At 44.8% G+C, this 17,704-nt stretch overlaps 1 protein-coding gene and 1 long non-coding RNA gene across 13 annotated transcripts in view, besides 7 other annotated features; one reads left to right on the forward strand and one right to left on the reverse strand.

The window, feature by feature from the left end:
- The window catches only part of WAKMAR2 (wound and keratinocyte migration associated lncRNA 2), a 44,565-nt gene extending 42,600 nt beyond the window's left edge, over positions 1 to 1,965 (reverse strand). Inside the window, exons 1-2 of the long non-coding RNA NR_049793.1 lie at positions 1,374 to 1,965; positions 315 to 616 (exon numbers count right to left, since the gene is read on the reverse strand). This is a non-coding gene — a long non-coding RNA (wound and keratinocyte migration associated lncRNA 2). The remainder of the gene's footprint in view (positions 1 to 314; positions 617 to 1,373) is intronic.
- On the forward strand, positions 81 to 17,044 carry TNFAIP3 (TNF alpha induced protein 3). Of its 12 annotated transcripts, XM_011536095.2 has the most exons (10): positions 81 to 285; positions 592 to 704; positions 4,945 to 5,254; positions 8,577 to 8,767; positions 9,420 to 9,567; positions 9,728 to 9,898; positions 10,808 to 10,988; positions 12,164 to 13,083; positions 13,803 to 13,984; positions 14,767 to 17,044. In XM_011536095.2, the coding sequence occupies exons 3-10, from the start codon at positions 4,960 to 4,962 to the stop codon at positions 15,049 to 15,051; spliced, it is 2,373 nt and encodes a 790-aa protein (XP_011534397.1). In that variant the 5' UTR covers positions 81 to 285; positions 592 to 704; positions 4,945 to 4,959; the 3' UTR covers positions 15,052 to 17,044. The 12 variants fall into 12 exon arrangements, with proteins under 12 accessions (XP_011534397.1, XP_047275239.1, XP_024302301.1 ...); XM_047419283.1 differs by having other exon boundaries at positions 81 to 704; XM_024446533.2 differs by lacking the exons at positions 81 to 285; positions 592 to 704 and adding an exon at positions 991 to 1,973.
- Positions 528 to 667: an enhancer, noted in NCBI's record as "active region_25153". NCBI's record gives its function as "activates an Ori minimal core promoter by ATAC-STARR-seq in GM12878 lymphoblastoid cells {active_cell/tissue: GM12878}" and the evidence as "EXISTENCE:reporter gene assay evidence [ECO:0000049][PMID:35858748]".
- Positions 748 to 887: a silencer, noted in NCBI's record as "silent region_17589". NCBI's record gives its function as "represses an Ori minimal core promoter by ATAC-STARR-seq in GM12878 lymphoblastoid cells {active_cell/tissue: GM12878}" and the evidence as "EXISTENCE:reporter gene assay evidence [ECO:0000049][PMID:35858748]".
- Positions 1,128 to 1,297: a silencer, noted in NCBI's record as "silent region_17590". NCBI's record gives its function as "represses an Ori minimal core promoter by ATAC-STARR-seq in GM12878 lymphoblastoid cells {active_cell/tissue: GM12878}" and the evidence as "EXISTENCE:reporter gene assay evidence [ECO:0000049][PMID:35858748]".
- Positions 1,438 to 1,537: a silencer, noted in NCBI's record as "silent region_17591". NCBI's record gives its function as "represses an Ori minimal core promoter by ATAC-STARR-seq in GM12878 lymphoblastoid cells {active_cell/tissue: GM12878}" and the evidence as "EXISTENCE:reporter gene assay evidence [ECO:0000049][PMID:35858748]".
- Positions 4,736 to 4,855: an enhancer, noted in NCBI's record as "active region_25154". NCBI's record gives its function as "activates an Ori minimal core promoter by ATAC-STARR-seq in GM12878 lymphoblastoid cells {active_cell/tissue: GM12878}" and the evidence as "EXISTENCE:reporter gene assay evidence [ECO:0000049][PMID:35858748]".
- Positions 8,891 to 10,090: an enhancer, noted in NCBI's record as "MED14-independent group 3 enhancer chr6:138196296-138197495 (GRCh37/hg19 assembly coordinates)". NCBI's record gives its function as "activates an origin of replication core promoter dependent on BRD2, BRD4, P300/CBP and CDK7 cofactors, and independent of MED14, by STARR-seq in HCT116 cells {active_cell/tissue: HCT116}" and the evidence as "EXISTENCE:reporter gene assay evidence [ECO:0000049][PMID:35650434]".
- Positions 12,710 to 13,292: an enhancer, noted in NCBI's record as "H3K4me1 hESC enhancer chr6:138200115-138200697 (GRCh37/hg19 assembly coordinates)". NCBI's record gives its function as "activates a minimal SCP1, AML or CMV promoter by ChIP-STARR-seq in primed H9 embryonic stem cells {active_cell/tissue: H9 hESC(primed)}" and the evidence as "EXISTENCE:reporter gene assay evidence [ECO:0000049][PMID:30033119]".

The following is a 17,704-nucleotide window of genomic DNA, read 5'->3' on the forward strand; positions in this document are numbered from 1 at the left end:
CCCACTGCCCAGGGGGCTGCATCCATCTCCACATGACTCACCCTCCCTGTGCAACGCATGGGGGTAGGGAGGGAAGCGCCAGTATTATCAGCCATCAGCACCCTGGGGTGAACTGATTATCAGGACAACTAAAAACACACCTAATAAAGCCTTGGAGACACATGGCAAGCACCGTGATGGACTAGAAGCGATTTCTAAGCTGAAATGCTGCTTTGAATGCAATGTCAGCTGGATGCTTGGTGAGCAGAAATAGACAAGGGGAAATGGAGCAAGCGCGGCATAGGGGTGAGTGTTGTTCTGATTCCTAAGTTTACCTAAGACTGGGGCCACGGGGTCGGGTGTCCCCTGGGACCTACGTCTCATGCAGCCTGGGGTCCAGAGCTGGCAGGAACAATGGAGATGGGGACCAAAGGCTGTCACCGCTGCTTTTTCTCGAAATGCCCGCCCGGGTCCTGTCTGGGGCTCCCGCCTACGCGCTCATCACGTGCACAGCCCAAACTTTTCAGAGCCGGCCCGAGGCCTGCGGGCCCGGGCGCCAGGGTGGTTTTTAGGGTTTTCTTTCTTTCTTATTTCCCTTCTTCTTCTCCACAGTTGATGATTTTCTGCAGAAAAACAACTGCGAAAAAGAACCTATTTCATTTCCAGTTCCCATCACCGCGATTTCCACATGGATGTGACGTGACCCCAGCTTCCGAAATGCCCAGGTGACTCACGCGGGGACACCCCGGGGCGGGGCGAGGGAGTTTCTCCGGGCGCCTGCAGGGACCGGGCGGGGCGGGGCAGCGGGGCGGGGCAGGGAAAGGGGGCGGGGCGGGGCCCGCAGGCCCGGTCGGGCGGAGGCCGCGCGCGCCCCTCGCCCCCTGCGCCCTCTGGCGGCCGGCTGGACGCACTTCGCAGCCCGACCCAGAGAGTCACGTGACTTTGGAAAGTCCCGTGGAAATCCCCGGGCCTACAACCCGCATACAACTGAAACGGGGCAAAGCAGACTGCGCAGTCTGCAGTCTTCGTGGCGGGCCAAGCGAGCTTGGAGCCCGCGGGGGCGGAGCGGTGAGAGCGGCCGCCAAGAGAGATCACACCCCCAGCCGACCCTGCCAGCGAGCGAGCCCGACCCCAGGCGTCCATGGAGCGTCGCCTCCGCCCGGTCCCTGCCCCGACCCCCGCCTGCGGCGCGCTCCTGCCTTGACCAGGACTTGGGACTTTGCGAAAGGATCGCGGGGCCCGGAGAGGTAACCGCCGCGCCTCCCGGAGAGGTAACCGCCGCGCCTCCCGGAGAGGTAACCGCCGCGCCTCCCCGTGCCGTCTGCCTCGGGCTCACCGCAGTCAAGGGCTGCGGGTGCATGTTGGGCAGCGACCCCCGGGCTGGCACCGTCTACCTGGCGTTGGTTTTGCAGCGCTCCTGGACTGGGAGTTTGTTGGACGTTTCTGTCTGGGTTTTGAAGTGCTGGGAGTTGAGGTCACTGCTGCAGAGGTTGGAGTGACAGCCCTGGATACCTCCAGCCAGCTGTTCCTTTCAGATAATGCACGGAACTTAAGCTGCAGCTGACTGGTGAAGAGGCGCCCCTCGGGCCCTCCGATCGGGTGGTCGTTGGCGCTTTGCTCCTTTCGTGTCTTTTTTGGAGCCAAGCGTTGCATGCTCATGGCCACGTAGACCTTGCAGAAGCGCTGCGGCTTTTTCCCAAATTGTGCAGGACCAGCCCGACGGGGCGTAGGGTACCGCAGTGGCCGCCAGCCCGGCGGAGGTGGGGGGCTTCAGTCCCAGAGACAGCTTCCCAGACGCTCACGGGTCCTTGCAGGGGGCTGGGGTCCTGGCGCGGGGTTCAGCTTTTCCAGTAGCAGCAGTGTAAGAGAAGTATGCATGTAGACGTGGGTCGCTGGCCCCTGCTCCAGCCCCTACCCCACGGTTAGACTGTCTTTGTCAGCTGGAGTCGTCCCACATCCTGCCACCTGGCCTCTCAGAAAAGCAGTGGCATTAAGTAAGGAAGGAGCTTAACTCTTTTTGAGCCCGCTTTGTTTTCGGTTCTCCTCGCCTCAGATCTTCTTGCCTTGGAAAGCCAGTCTGGTCAAGTGTCTCAGGGTAGCATTTTGGCAGAACCATTGTTAATTAAAGGGACTTCTGGACCGCAACCTTAATGTACCAGATTATTGAGCAGCCAATGAATGCTTCATTCTCATTGTTTAAGGTGCTGCTTTGATTTTTTTTTCAATTCTTTGTACTATTTTTGATTTTTTGGAGAGGCACATCCCCAAATTTGGATGAGGTATTTGTTGATAAATAATTCATCAATTTCCACAATGCAGACAAAAATGTCTGCCCAGAGTGGAAAAATAAAACAAGGGGGAGAAGAGTTTGAGTAACGGAGAAGTTCTGTGGAATCCTAGTGACAAAAGTTGAGAAACTACCTTTAAATAAGACAGTGAGGTAACAAATGTTAAAAAAAAAAAAGTTAAGGGTAATATTGCATTGTTTGCCACTTATAACGTATCTGAAACATTTGTTCTTTAATCTTAAGCGTAGAGTGGTCCAAGACCTGGAAATCTGGGCAGTGGGTTTTGATTTCTAAGGAGGCAGTTTTACAGGCTGTGCAAGGCTAACCCTACCAATGAGATCACACTGGCGTATCCGATATTGACATTTGCATGTCTTGCCTATGGTTTACAGCTCTCACTATTTTAGATCTTTGGTGAAAAATCTTTAGATTCAGAAGAGAAAAATAAAAGAGTCAGGCAAGCAAAAAGAGATAACACCTCATTTGTTTAAAATCTTCCTACTGCCCATCTCTTTCCATCTGATTGTGGCAGGCACTGTAGCCACAGGTTTGGTGTTGTGGGATTGCAAGGGGCAGGTATTGAAAGACCTGGCTCCTAGGCAAAACTTTGCCCCTGAATGGCTGTGGGATCTGAGCAGTACCTGTAACTCCATTGCCTTAGCTGCAGACTAAGGTGGTAGTGTAATTTCAGGGAAGGGAATAAGGTCATCTTTGACTTTTAGTCCCATCATCAAGCATGGTGATTGGCCTTCAGTAGGTGGTCAGGTAGTGCTTGTTGGGTGGATGGGTGGATGGATGGATAGATGGATGGATGGATGGATGGATGGATGGATGGATGGATGGACGGACGGACGGACGGACGGATAGATGATATTGTGAAAGAGACTTTTGCTGTGCCACAAAGGAAAGGTATATGTGTTATTTTTATCCTGCTATGATTTTGCCCAATTCCACCTGTAGAGGACGTCTGACATCAAAAGAGAGCACCATCTGATCCAGAGAATGACTCCCACTATGCCTTTCCCAGCAATCAGATTAAGAATCCCAATCTAAAACTATCACCAGAAAACTCCTCAGGAGAAACCATGGGTCATCTAGTCCAACCTCTCTCCTTTGAGTGGGCCACAAGAATTATCTCAACACCTTATCAATGGTGTTGAGAGTCTAGACCCACACAGAAGTAGCTACCCTAAAATCTAGGTTTCTTCTCCTCCCTCTTCCATAGGTTTAACATTTTTATTAACTGGAAAGTTGCCCTGGCAAATAAGATGTTGCAGGAATGGAATTAACAATCACTGTGAAATTTCCTAGGGAATGTCTTTGTGCTCTGAAAACTTCTTCATCTTCTTGGAAATTAGGAAGTGTGGCCAGACACCCTACTAAGGGCTAGTAAATCACAGCTGGCTTTTTACAGTGTTCCACACTGGAGAGATCCTACATCATGTTAATTTGCATCATCCTGCGCTGTTGGCATGGGTTGTAGATGCTGGTCTTTGCCACCTTTCCTCCTTCATTTGCCAGAGTGGCCTCCTGGTGGAAACTTCTTTCCTTGTCTACTTCTAGATTTTCATTCCTTCTACTAGTTGATTATGCTTAAAGATTTCAGGGTGAAAAGCCAGGCAGACTTGCCTCTGTGTTGGTACCTGGAGGGTGATGATAAAATTTCATTGGCAGTTGAGTTAAAATGATTGAGCTCCAATATCTGTTCTTAGAAGTATAGAATTTATTGTTCTATTATTATTTTGCGGTTTTTCATTTTTTGTTTTCGTAGAGACCTAGGTCTCACCGTGTTGCCCAGGCTAGTCTCAAACTCCTGAGCTTAAGTGATCCTCCTCCCTCGACCTCCCAAAGTGCCAGGATTAAAGGCATGAGCCACCATGCCTAGCCTATTGTTAGTCTGTTTCTTATTCTGATATGAAGTCCGGTGCGGAGGTTCTGAAGGAATGCTGACTGCTCTTAAAATTGCAAAGCATCTTGCTGGAAATGGACTTTTTTATTGATTAGAAAACATTCGGTTTTAACTCTTTATAAACATCAGAATAAACTTCATGATTAAACACTTTATAAATACTTCTCTTTGGGGCTAAAGAGGAAACACCAACCAGCAGCCTAAGTGACAGCATAAAATTGCAAGATTTTTCATAAAGTATTTTACTGTCCTTCCAGCATAGGGAGGGAGTGATAACTCAAGAGTTTGCCCAAGAGCAGGAGTGCTTGGTGGTGGTCTGAGGGGAGGAGCTACAGACTTGTCAGGGCTACTTTGAGCCCTTAACTGGCATCCAGTACTCCCCAAATCCAGTGCTGTTCAGGGTGGCCTCAGAATGAAACGGGAGCTTAAGTTGGTTTTGAGGAGCAGTACCTGTTGCTGACAGACAGGGTTGGCTCCCTGACAAACATTACTGAAAACACGGGTTATTCCCCTCCTCCTCAGTACCCACTCTCTGCCTTCCTTCTCTTGTTTAGGCTAATCTTTTAAAGTGATGTAACTTAAAACAGTCCAGTGTGAGTTAATCTCTGGGGCCAGCTAGTATCCCGGGAGTAGAGGTGCTAAGATCTTTTGCCTACAGATCAGGGTAATGACAAGATCAAACACTGGGGTTTCCTGCAGGCAGCTATAGAGGAGTCGTATTAAAGTCAGGCTAATAGAATGGCTTTTTTTTTTTCCTTTCCTTTTCAGGTGTTGGAGAGCACAATGGCTGAACAAGTCCTTCCTCAGGCTTTGTATTTGAGCAATATGCGGAAAGCTGTGAAGATACGGGAGAGAACTCCAGAAGACATTTTTAAACCTACTAATGGGATCATTCATCATTTTAAAACCATGCACCGATACACACTGGAAATGTTCAGAACTTGCCAGTTTTGTCCTCAGTTTCGGGAGATCATCCACAAAGCCCTCATCGACAGAAACATCCAGGCCACCCTGGAAAGCCAGAAGAAACTCAACTGGTGTCGAGAAGTCCGGAAGCTTGTGGCGCTGAAAACGAACGGTAAGACTTGTTCTGTTGTGTTTCTTTTGCCTGGGTGATAGCTCCCGCCTGCTGGATCCCCATTCATGAAGCTTTAATAGGACAAGCCCAAACTCAAATCAATCTTGAGATTTAGTATTGAGACCTTTATATAGAATCTCTATTCGGGGTATGTGATAATAGCAGACTTGTTTTGTGAATCTATTTATTAAGGATATTTTCTGATTGTGTATATTGCAGAGCACATTGAGGCTTGGAGAATGCATTTGTAAACACCATACCTCCATTAGGTGATTTCTTTCTAATTCTTGCAAATGTCTAATCATCTGTAAAATACCCTTCTCTGGCCCGTAATGGAAATGTTAAAAGCCTTTAAGTTCAAAAGGAAAGAATGGTGTGAAAACTGGTAGTACATTTGTTTCCCACTGTCATTAGAAAATGCTTGTGATGTTCTTACACTTCTTGAATTGGTAGCATTTTATGGGTTAACCAGTGAATGGCTGTTGAAGACATGAAGAACTTCTTTTGTCTCCTCCTCCTCTCTGACCTAGGTTCTATTGCCTATGCCCTGCAAGGTGAAATAGACAGATAGCTGAGATTTTTAGCATGAATTTTAGACTTCACCTTCATTATTTTTAGGGGTTCTTAGTCACTGAATTCCTTCCTGTCTGTGCTGTTCTGCCAATGGCCTTTACCACTAGTAGCTATTTCCTATTCCAAGCTTTACTGTTTTGTTTTTTAATCATTTCCCTTGGGTAAGAATATGTGCATCAACAGGAATGTCAGAGCATACTGTTTCATGCAGGCACAAAATTCTGCTCTATGGATGTGCATAATTATGACAATAAGGAAGTTGACTGTACAAGCTCAATTAAATGCTCATAGTCTACATAAGAGCAGGAATCTCAGGTCCTTATATCTGTGACAGTCCCAAACCATCCTAATAGAAATAATATGTCCAAGGGCAGAAAATCCTTGTTGACAAGGATTACGATAAGAACACTAACTTAATTAACTTCATTCAAAAGCCAAGTACATTAACTTTGGCTTTTTTTGACTTGGGTAACTTAGAGTGATTGGTGGACATGGGTTTTTAAATTTTGATTCTGGGGGCTCTTGTACATTACCCCAACGTCTTGCCTAGATTTATGAAACACTGATTCTTAGAAACATAGATAGAAAGAAAACTGGGGATAGCTACTATCTGCATTGTTCTTGGCATTAAATTAAGTGATACTTAGAGGTAGGTAATTATGTGAAGTCATCATCACGGGGTTTATGTGCCTGACAATTTGTGGTTTTAATCATCTCCCATTTGTTACCAAAAAGAGATGGAGTCAACTTTGGGGGAGTTGGAAACAAAGATTCTGCTGAATTAAAAATGTGGTAGAAAGAGGAACACCTTATTAAGAGAATTAACTGACTTTTAGCTTTATTTCCTTAAGAAAGGAAATGCTCTATTTCCACTAGAAAAAAAAAAGGAATATAAATAGGAAACACTTATTTTGTAAACATGTCATTTAAATCAACAAGGAGCCACACTACAAATAAAACTACAAAAGCAGGTGCATTTTGGTAACATTTTCTGGGAAATCATTTTTAGACTCAGAGTCCTTTTGTTTCTTCACTTTCAAGAAAACTCCTTAAGATTCTAAAAAAGGAAGAAAAGATATTTAGGGAGGGAGGAAAACAAATGACTTTTTCTTTGATTTTAATTAGCACCTTTTAAAAAAAAATTAATCCTTCCCCTGATAGGAGGGTTCTTCAAAGGCAATATCTGTTTGGGGAGGGGGTGATTCACAAGTTTGCATTTGAGGATATGAGACTGCGGTGAATGAGGAAGGGAGTAGGTGGCATAAAATTGAAACTTCATGTGAAAAATTCCAGCGTCTATTGGCTGCAGCGATTTCACTTGTATAATGAGTAGCCCTATTCCAGCTCACCCTGACCACACCCACTTGGAAAGTCCAGGGTGCACTTCGCAGTTTAAATGTCTACACACCAGAACAAAAAGTACAATAGCTGTTGCTCAATTGCTAGTCAAATAACTTAGCACTGGGGAATTCCAGATGTTACTTAGGGAATTTTATACTGGTGCATCTCAATAAAGAACTGAAAGTAAGCACAAGAAGAAAAAAAGCCTTATCTTTGCTCTAGATTTTGCAAAGGGGAAATTTCAACAGAACGCAATCATTGCTACACGTCTGCCAAGACACAAGGCTTGGGCGATCTTTTTTGTTCATTTGTTTGAATACTTAGCTAGTTTTTCTAAATGTATACATTGAAGGAATACTGGCTGTGGAAGTATATTTGAGGGTTTTTTGGTTTCTTTACAGTTTGACTGTAATTACAATTTGATAAAATTTCAAATAGCTCTATTGCCCTACTTATAGAGTAATGTAAGAAACAATGTAACTTTTCATTATAAAAATTATTTTGCACTTGCCAAAGGAGATTAAGGAGTTAACTTTTTTTGTTTTAAACATTCCCCCAAAATATTTATCGTTTGGGGGTTGAAAAAAATGCAGCCCATTGAATTGTGAGTTTTAAACTGGAAAGGTCACAGATTAATGGCATACAATTAAACCTGTTTTTTTGTTTGTTTTTCTTCTCAAAATGTTAGCCCTAAACACTGAATTATTTTCAAATTTAGACACCCAGGTGCTTTTTAACTTTTGTACTTTACAGTTACTAACAAGCAGGTTTGCATAAGGCATTTTTGAGAGCCGGACTAGCAGGCCATAGGTAATTCCGTGTTGTCAATACGACTTTCCACACCAGGAGAGGAAACTCCCAGGGCCCAAAGGCTAAAGTGGAATGGTCAAGTCATTTGCCATTGAGTCATAGCCAGACCATCCCTATCTAGCAAGCCATGCCTGCTTCCTGGTTTGTGCATGTTGCCCTGTGTGCTCCTCCTTAGAACTAGAGAGCAGCAATGCCAGTGCCTTCACCAGCAAATCAAGGGATGGTAGGAAGGGATAGGGCTTTAGAGATCATCACTTACTGCCCTCATTTCACAAGAGGAAAAATGCCCAGTGAACTTAAGGAATTTCCTCCAGGTCACCTAAACTAGTTAGGAGCAGACTTAAGCTAGAACCAAGGTCCCCTGGCTCCTTTGCAGTTGGTGTCATTCATTAAAAAGAAGAATAAAAAGAACTCTTTTTTTCTTAAAGCTGTCATCATCTTGTGAAATATCAGTTTGCCCTTGACTAGGAAATTACATCAAATTAAACCATTCAGTCCCCTAGAATAGCAGTAGGGCTGGTTTATTCTGAAAACCTTTGCTGGGTCTTACATGCAGATAACTTGACTTTCCTTCTCTTCTCCTCCTTTCTGTCCTCAGGTGACGGCAATTGCCTCATGCATGCCACTTCTCAGTACATGTGGGGCGTTCAGGACACAGACTTGGTACTGAGGAAGGCGCTGTTCAGCACGCTCAAGGAAACAGACACACGCAACTTTAAATTCCGCTGGCAACTGGAGTCTCTCAAATCTCAGGAATTTGTTGAAACGGGGCTTTGCTATGATACTCGGGTAGGTTTTTCCCCCTAATTATCTACTAACAGAGCTCCATGGTGGGCATAGGGTACCCCTGGGCGAGTCCCTGCCCTCTGGTAGCATCTGATGGACTAGGTCACATGAATTTGGCTAAGCGAAGCATACTCAATGGAAAACACCAGAAACCTCCAGTGGGACTCACCCAAGGCTTTTGCCCTGCTTTTGGTTAGCAGATTCCCAGCTGTGGATCCGTTCCTGTAGCAGCGAGTCTTTTGATCATGGCCTTTTCCACTGGTGTTTTGTTGTTTTTCAGTTTGATTGCCCTTAGCTTTGCTGAGCCAGCCAGTAAGATTAAGACACGTGCCTCACCATCCTCAGTCACAAGTTTGGAATTTTTGTGAACATTTGGATAAGGGGCTGCAATATGATACCTCATCAGGGATTTTTTTTTAAAGCAGGTGCTGTCCCCGTCCTCCCCAACTTTTGAGTTTGCCTTGTAGTGGAAAAAAGTAAAGGAAGAAAACCGAAATGGGGAAAAAAGGGTGATCATTTGAATGATGGTTTCATGAAAGGGGAAAAAATAAGCTGAGTTATATAAATGAATAATTGTAGAGTGATGTCAGAATGACTTTTTAGTACAGGGAGTACAGGATACATTCAAGCTTTTTTTTCACCCCGCTCCCCTTAGAACTGGAATGATGAATGGGACAATCTTATCAAAATGGCTTCCACAGACACACCCATGGCCCGAAGTGGACTTCAGTACAACTCACTGGAAGAAATACACATATTTGTCCTTTGCAACATCCTCAGAAGGCCAATCATTGTCATTTCAGGTGAGATGCCTGCAGATCACGGATCTGTACTTAAATGCTTTCAGCCTTATGCCTTGGCTCCTGGAGAAAACCACACTGCCAAAGTTCAGGTAACAGAGTTCAATGGAATTTGATGAAAGTCACCTAAGGGCCTCATTTTCCTTTCTCTTTCTTTGAACAGACAAAATGCTAAGAAGTTTGGAATCAGGTTCCAATTTCGCCCCTTTGAAAGTGGGTGGAATTTACTTGCCTCTCCACTGGCCTGCCCAGGAATGCTACAGATACCCCATTGTTCTCGGCTATGACAGCCATCATTTTGTACCCTTGGTGACCCTGAAGGACAGTGGGCCTGGTGAGAAAACTGCATTAATTCACATCTATAACTAGACACTGAAACATCAGGGTTTTCCTTTTTGCTTCTTATTAAAACAGTCTTATTTAAGTATATTATTTTTATTTAAATATATTGTTCTGTGACTTGCTTGGTTAGTAAGAGTAATGCAGTAGCAGTAATCATAATACCCTCATATCTTTTTGAATATGACTTGGAAAGTACTTTCATACATGATAAATTAAGGCGCACAGTGCTCTTAATACAGTGCCTGGTATGGAGCAAGTAAACGCCTGTCAGGTTAGTTTTTTTCTTTTTGAGACAGGGTTTCCCTCCATTGTCCAGGCTGGAGTGCAGTGGCACAATCATGGCTCATTGCAGCCTCCACCCCCTGGGCTCAAGCAGTCTCTCGCTTTGGCCTCTCAAATTTACAGGCACGAGCCACCATGCCTGGCCTGTTAGCTGTTATTTTAATAGCCTCATGTGGAATAAGCACTGTGCTTTGGAAATATTATTTTACTGCATTTTTATCCTTTTAGCACTCTTGTGAGATGTAGGCCTTGGTAGCCTTATTTTACATATTAGACAGTTAAAGCTCAGAGAGGTCAACTAACCTGCCTAATGCCACACAGCTTGATAGTGACAAAGCCAGGATTCAAACTCAGGTCAGTCTGATTCTAAAGCCTGGGACTTTAACCAATAAGATCCACCACCTCCAGGCTGGTTAATGTTATGTGAGTTTCCTGGAAACAGTGCATTTTTATATTAGATTGTAGCACATTTTGTTTTCCCATTTGGGTTTAACTGTGGCTAAGAATACTTTTCTATTCTGTAAGTTATATCTTTTATACATTTTCAAAATGAGATCTACTTACCTATGGCCTTGTTTAGTAGAATACTGTTTTACTTATGTATTATTTTTTTCCTTAGAAATCCGAGCTGTTCCACTTGTTAACAGAGACCGGGGAAGATTTGAAGACTTAAAAGTTCACTTTTTGACAGATCCTGAAAATGAGATGAAGGAGAAGCTCTTAAAAGAGTACTTAATGGTGATAGAAATCCCCGTCCAAGGCTGGGACCATGGCACAACTCATCTCATCAATGCCGCAAAGTAAGCAGTTTATGTTCAGCTCTCTCCTGTGTCATCTGTAACTGTCTTTAACCTCAGCCACCTGAGTTGCTGCCACCCTGAAGCTCAACAGTAGAGTGATTTGCGGCCAGTTTCTGCCAATGGGAAACAAATTCAGAGTCTTGTGCATGGTTAGAGAGGATTATGTAAGGCAGTACTAACTTGGGTTTCAAATCAAAACATGTCATTTATCCATAATGATTTTCCTGGATATCTGGATCCCAAAAGTCAGAATTGCAGAATTATGGGTTTTCAAAGTGCATTTACATCAAGGATAGTTGTTGTTTCTTGTTTTTGTATTTTAATTACTCTGGTACATATTAAAAAGACTAGTGAAAACACTTGGAAACAAAAGCCTTTCTCTCTTGGCTTCTTGGTAAGAACAGGCACATCAGACATAGATGGAGCTGTAGAATTGTTTATGTTGCAGCTCATGATTCTGCCACATGGAAATGGGAGGAAAGCCCCAGAATACCCATTGTGCAGGTATCCGGTCTTTAAACATTGGCTTTATGTTAAAGAGATGCCTGTTTCTGAGCACTTGAAACGCACAACAGATGACAAGGAAGCCGTAAGAGAATCTGTCTCTCAATGTGGAGATTAGCAAATTACAGAGTCAACAGTAAATAGACAAGCGCCTTTGAGTGTGTCTGCGTCTTAGTTACTCATGGCTGCTAATGCTGGTGGAGACTAGACACAAGTTTAAAGTTAGTAACAGCAAAATACCCAACCTGAGGTTCCAAAGTAGTTTGTACTATAAAGTAGACTAGTCCCAAACCAATGGCCTCAGTAATATTTTACTCAGAATTTGATCTCTGAGAAATTGGAAAGTCAACTGATTTTTCTTAGCCCTTGTTTTAGAACTATCTATAATTTTTGGATGGACCAAGATTGATTAAATGAAACTGTGATTTTAAAAATAAGGAAGTCTTAGCAAACTAACTGACATCATTCTTGACTCGAACATGTTGGGAAATGTGTCAGATCATGTTGCGTGAAAAGTGTGAGCTCTTCATCACAGGCCTGCATTTCAGTGAATGGTTCTACAATTCTTGCCATAATCCACATTCTAAAACTTTGTTCTATGAGCTAATGATGTAAAATCTTGTGTGTGATTTTGTGTATTCTCATACATATTTTTTCCTTTTGGTCTTCAGGTTGGATGAAGCTAACTTACCAAAAGAAATCAATCTGGTAGATGATTACTTTGAACTTGTTCAGCATGAGTACAAGAAATGGCAGGAAAACAGCGAGCAGGGGAGGAGAGAGGGGCACGCCCAGAATCCCATGGAACCTTCCGTGCCCCAGCTTTCTCTCATGGATGTAAAATGTGAAACGCCCAACTGCCCCTTCTTCATGTCTGTGAACACCCAGCCTTTATGCCATGAGTGCTCAGAGAGGCGGCAAAAGAATCAAAACAAACTCCCAAAGCTGAACTCCAAGCCGGGCCCTGAGGGGCTCCCTGGCATGGCGCTCGGGGCCTCTCGGGGAGAAGCCTATGAGCCCTTGGCGTGGAACCCTGAGGAGTCCACTGGGGGGCCTCATTCGGCCCCACCGACAGCACCCAGCCCTTTTCTGTTCAGTGAGACCACTGCCATGAAGTGCAGGAGCCCCGGCTGCCCCTTCACACTGAATGTGCAGCACAACGGATTTTGTGAACGTTGCCACAACGCCCGGCAACTTCACGCCAGCCACGCCCCAGACCACACAAGGCACTTGGATCCCGGGAAGTGCCAAGCCTGCCTCCAGGATGTTACCAGGACATTTAATGGGATCTGCAGTACTTGCTTCAAAAGGACTACAGCAGAGGCCTCCTCCAGCCTCAGCACCAGCCTCCCTCCTTCCTGTCACCAGCGTTCCAAGTCAGATCCCTCGCGGCTCGTCCGGAGCCCCTCCCCGCATTCTTGCCACAGAGCTGGAAACGACGCCCCTGCTGGCTGCCTGTCTCAAGCTGCACGGACTCCTGGGGACAGGACGGGGACGAGCAAGTGCAGAAAAGCCGGCTGCGTGTATTTTGGGACTCCAGAAAACAAGGGCTTTTGCACACTGTGTTTCATCGAGTACAGAGAAAACAAACGTGAGTGAAGTGGTTGACTTCCTAACACAGCGGCTGCTGTCCAGAAGGGGTTTTGTTCCTGACCTTTAAGAAAAAAAGCCCATGTAGGCAGTCAGGCAGAACTGTCAGGACCTACCGTGCTTTTCTACCAGCTTGTGCAGGGGACAGTCACGGTGGCCCTGCCAGCCGCCCATGGAGGCAAAAGGCACTGCGTGATTACAGCAGCTCCTAATATCACATTCCAAAAACCAGAGTGCCCTGTAGACAGAGCTCATGGGATGTGCTTTTACTAGACCATTCAGGTCTGGCATATCTAAGAGAGTCTAAGTTTAAACTAGACTTATTTTGCAACTTAGATATAACAGAACAATCTTAAAATCTGAAGAGTAGTAACTGGAGAGAAGGAAGTCTCTGTTGACACTGTAAGGAAACAGATGTGGTTTGGAAATCTCTCATTGGAAAGAAGGGTGATCAGGTAATGCCTGCTCCTTGCCTGTTCCTGTGAGCAATCAGTGCTTCAAGTTCAAAATGAGAGATTGGTAAAGCCAAAGATGTTTCCATAATAGGGATGTTATTTCTTTTGCTGAATTTATAGACTTAAACATATACATATATATATTTCTATACATTTAAGGCTGGCCTAATCTGTATTTGGAACCCATTTATTTCTCTACTGTCAGCATCTCTGTATCGGTGGGGTGACCCCTATGTGGTACTAACTAGCATCCATTCTCATGTAGATTTTGCTGCTGCCTCAGGGAAAGTCAGTCCCACAGCGTCCAGGTTCCAGAACACCATTCCGTGCCTGGGGAGGGAATGCGGCACCCTTGGAAGCACCATGTTTGAAGGATACTGCCAGAAGTGTTTCATTGAAGCTCAGAATCAGAGATTTCATGAGGCCAAAAGGACAGAAGAGCAACTGGTGAGACACTTGGAGGAGCTTTCCCTCCCTCCCGTGTGTTCGATGCTTTTTGCTGGAGCGTTTTCTACCGACAGTGACAAGCAGGCTTTCCTCTCTGCCAGGTTCTGTCTCCTCATGATAAAGGATTAATTCAGAACCTGAAGGGGAATGTCCATGTCACTGTGGCTCCCCAGGTCCGAAATGCTACCTCCAATTTTCATGCTCCAAGTATGCTTTCAAATTTATTTTAAAAACAAAGAAACACAGCCATTGCATAAAACTTCTTCAAGCCTCCAAAAAGCCAGATGGTGATCAGAGGCTTCTTTGATTTGTAAGAGAAGCACAGACATCTAAAAAGCAGCCCTTCTTAAATAATCCTTTATCATAAGGAGCGAACAGACAGAGCTTCCCAGGGGCCTGCCTCCACCTAATGGCGCGTCAGAAAAGCCAGCTTTGACAGATAGGTGTGTCGCCTGTTGCTCACAGAATGGTAGGGAAGCTATGTAAGAACAGTGGTTTTTGGTCCCAACAGAAGAGAGCCAGGGAAAGTTTGCAGGCCAACTTAGGCTTGGCGGTTTTCCTCAGCCTCCCTGGGGGCCAAGTCAGCTTTCCTTGAGACTGGAAAGAAACATCCTTCGAGAGCTCTGGCTCATAGACTGCAATGCTCTCCTGTTCCCTTGCTCAGGCAGGTAAAGCTCTTTGTAGACTCCACACTCTCCAATGAGATTTCATTGTGCTCTCCCTAAGAAATGTGAGCAATAGTTTCCTGACTTTTTAATGATCTGCCTGTTCTTTCCACTCAGAGATCGAGCCAGCGCAGAGATGTGCCTCGAACCACACAAAGCACCTCAAGGCCCAAGTGCGCCCGGGCCTCCTGCAAGAACATCCTGGCCTGCCGCAGCGAGGAGCTCTGCATGGAGTGTCAGCATCCCAACCAGAGGATGGGCCCTGGGGCCCACCGGGGTGAGCCTGCCCCCGAAGACCCCCCCAAGCAGCGTTGCCGGGCCCCCGCCTGTGATCATTTTGGCAATGCCAAGTGCAACGGCTACTGCAACGAATGCTTTCAGTTCAAGCAGATGTATGGCTAACCGGAAACAGGTGGGTCACCTCCTGCAAGAAGTGGGGCCTCGAGCTGTCAGTCATCATGGTGCTATCCTCTGAACCCCTCAGCTGCCACTGCAACAGTGGGCTTAAGGGTGTCTGAGCAGGAGAGGAAAGATAAGCTCTTCGTGGTGCCCACGATGCTCAGGTTTGGTAACCCGGGAGTGTTCCCAGGTGGCCTTAGAAAGCAAAGCTTGTAACTGGCAAGGGATGATGTCAGATTCAGCCCAAGGTTCCTCCTCTCCTACCAAGCAGGAGGCCAGGAACTTCTTTGGACTTGGAAGGTGTGCGGGGACTGGCCGAGGCCCCTGCACCCTGCGCATCAGGACTGCTTCATCGTCTTGGCTGAGAAAGGGAAAAGACACACAAGTCGCGTGGGTTGGAGAAGCCAGAGCCATTCCACCTCCCCTCCCCCAGCATCTCTCAGAGATGTGAAGCCAGATCCTCATGGCAGCGAGGCCCTCTGCAAGAAGCTCAAGGAAGCTCAGGGAAAATGGACGTATTCAGAGAGTGTTTGTAGTTCATGGTTTTTCCCTACCTGCCCGGTTCCTTTCCTGAGGACCCGGCAGAAATGCAGAACCATCCATGGACTGTGATTCTGAGGCTGCTGAGACTGAACATGTTCACATTGACAGAAAAACAAGCTGCTCTTTATAATATGCACCTTTTAAAAAATTAGAATATTTTACTGGGAAGACGTGTAACTCTTTGGGTTATTACTGTCTTTACTTCTAAAGAAGTTAGCTTGAACTGAGGAGTAAAAGTGTGTACATATATAATATACCCTTACATTATGTATGAGGGATTTTTTTAAATTATATTGAAATGCTGCCCTAGAAGTACAATAGGAAGGCTAAATAATAATAACCTGTTTTCTGGTTGTTGTTGGGGCATGAGCTTGTGTATACACTGCTTGCATAAACTCAACCAGCTGCCTTTTTAAAGGGAGCTCTAGTCCTTTTTGTGTAATTCACTTTATTTATTTTATTACAAACTTCAAGATTATTTAAGTGAAGATATTTCTTCAGCTCTGGGGAAAATGCCACAGTGTTCTCCTGAGAGAACATCCTTGCTTTGAGTCAGGCTGTGGGCAAGTTCCTGACCACAGGGAGTAAATTGGCCTCTTTGATACACTTTTGCTTGCCTCCCCAGGAAAGAAGGAATTGCATCCAAGGTATACATACATATTCATCGATGTTTCGTGCTTCTCCTTATGAAACTCCAGCTATGTAATAAAAAACTATACTCTGTGTTCTGTTAATGCCTCTGAGTGTCCTACCTCCTTGGAGATGAGATAGGGAAGGAGCAGGGATGAGACTGGCAATGGTCACAGGGAAAGATGTGGCCTTTTGTGATGGTTTTATTTTCTGTTAACACTGTGTCCTGGGGGGGCTGGGAAGTCCCCTGCATCCCATGGTACCCTGGTATTGGGACAGCAAAAGCCAGTAACCATGAGTATGAGGAAATCTCTTTCTGTTGCTGGCTTACAGTTTCTCTGTGTGCTTTGTGGTTGCTGTCATATTTGCTCTAGAAGAAAAAAAAAAAAGGAGGGGAAATGCATTTTCCCCAGAGATAAAGGCTGCCATTTTGGGGGTCTGTACTTATGGCCTGAAAATATTTGTGATCCATAACTCTACACAGCCTTTACTCATACTATTAGGCACACTTTCCCCTTAGAGCCCCCTAAGTTTTTCCCAGACGAATCTTTATAATTTCTTTCCAAAGATACCAAATAAACTTCAGTGTTTTCATCTAATTCTCTTAAAGTTGATATCTTAATATTTTGTGTTGATCATTATTTCCATTCTTAATGTGAAAAAAAGTAATTATTTATACTTATTATAAAAAGTATTTGAAATTTGCACATTTAATTGTCCCTAATAGAAAGCCACCTATTCTTTGTTGGATTTCTTCAAGTTTTTCTAAATAAATGTAACTTTTCACAAGAGTCAACATTAAAAAATAAATTATTTAAGAACAGATTGTGATGTTTTCAATTGATGAATGCTGAAAGAAAAAGAAAGGCTTGGATATTAAGACTGTGCTTCCTAAGCAGCTTTATTTTGAGGTGCACCTGAGCAATGCACACATCTCTCATCCATGGTAGCAAGGCAGCTTTTCATAAATAATAACTGTATGAGGTCCAGGCCCAGTCCTCAAGCACAAGCCCCCGCTTGACAATGAAGACACTCTTCCTCTGATGGGAAGAGGAAAGGGATGCTAGGACCCTGTGGCCCTTTTAAGCTTCCTGCCCTAAACTTTTATAAAGTGAAGAAAGAGAAAACAAGAGGGAGGAGGAGGGAAAGACAGGAAAGAGAGAAGTAGGCAGGCAGGAAGGAAGACTGATGTAAGATCTCCTGGGTCAGACAAAGCAGAGGAGGCAGCGTGGCTGTGCTGGCTGCCAGAACCAGGAAATTAAAAAATAACACATTCCTCCATGCGCAAGCCTTCATCCCCACCTCCCATCCAGTACAAATGGACTCACAGACGACTGATTCAGCAGGACTGCGCAGCTCCCAGAATCTACTTTTTTAAGCTCCTCGGGTGATCTGGATGATCAGCCAGATTTTAGAATCACACTTTAAAAAATATATTTATAATTTTTTTTTAACTTTTTAAAAGTAGAAAACTTTAATAAGA

Source organism: Homo sapiens, chromosome 6 (assembly GCF_000001405.40).
Source record: "Homo sapiens chromosome 6, GRCh38.p14 Primary Assembly".
Taxonomy (NCBI): Eukaryota; Metazoa; Chordata; class Mammalia; order Primates; family Hominidae; genus Homo; species Homo sapiens.

Coding starts and splice junctions, on each gene's coding strand:
- TNFAIP3 (XM_047419282.1), top strand. CDS start 4,915: ATGGCTTTTTTTTTTTCCTTTCCTTTTCAGGTGTTGGAGAGCACAATG. Junction 5,255..8,576: donor TGTGGCGCTGAAAACGAACG/GTAAGACTTGTT, acceptor TTCTGTCCTCAG/GTGACGGCAATTGCCTCATG. Junction 13,084..13,802: donor CGAGTACAGAGAAAACAAAC/GTGAGTGAAGTG, acceptor ATTCTCATGTAG/ATTTTGCTGCTGCCTCAGGG.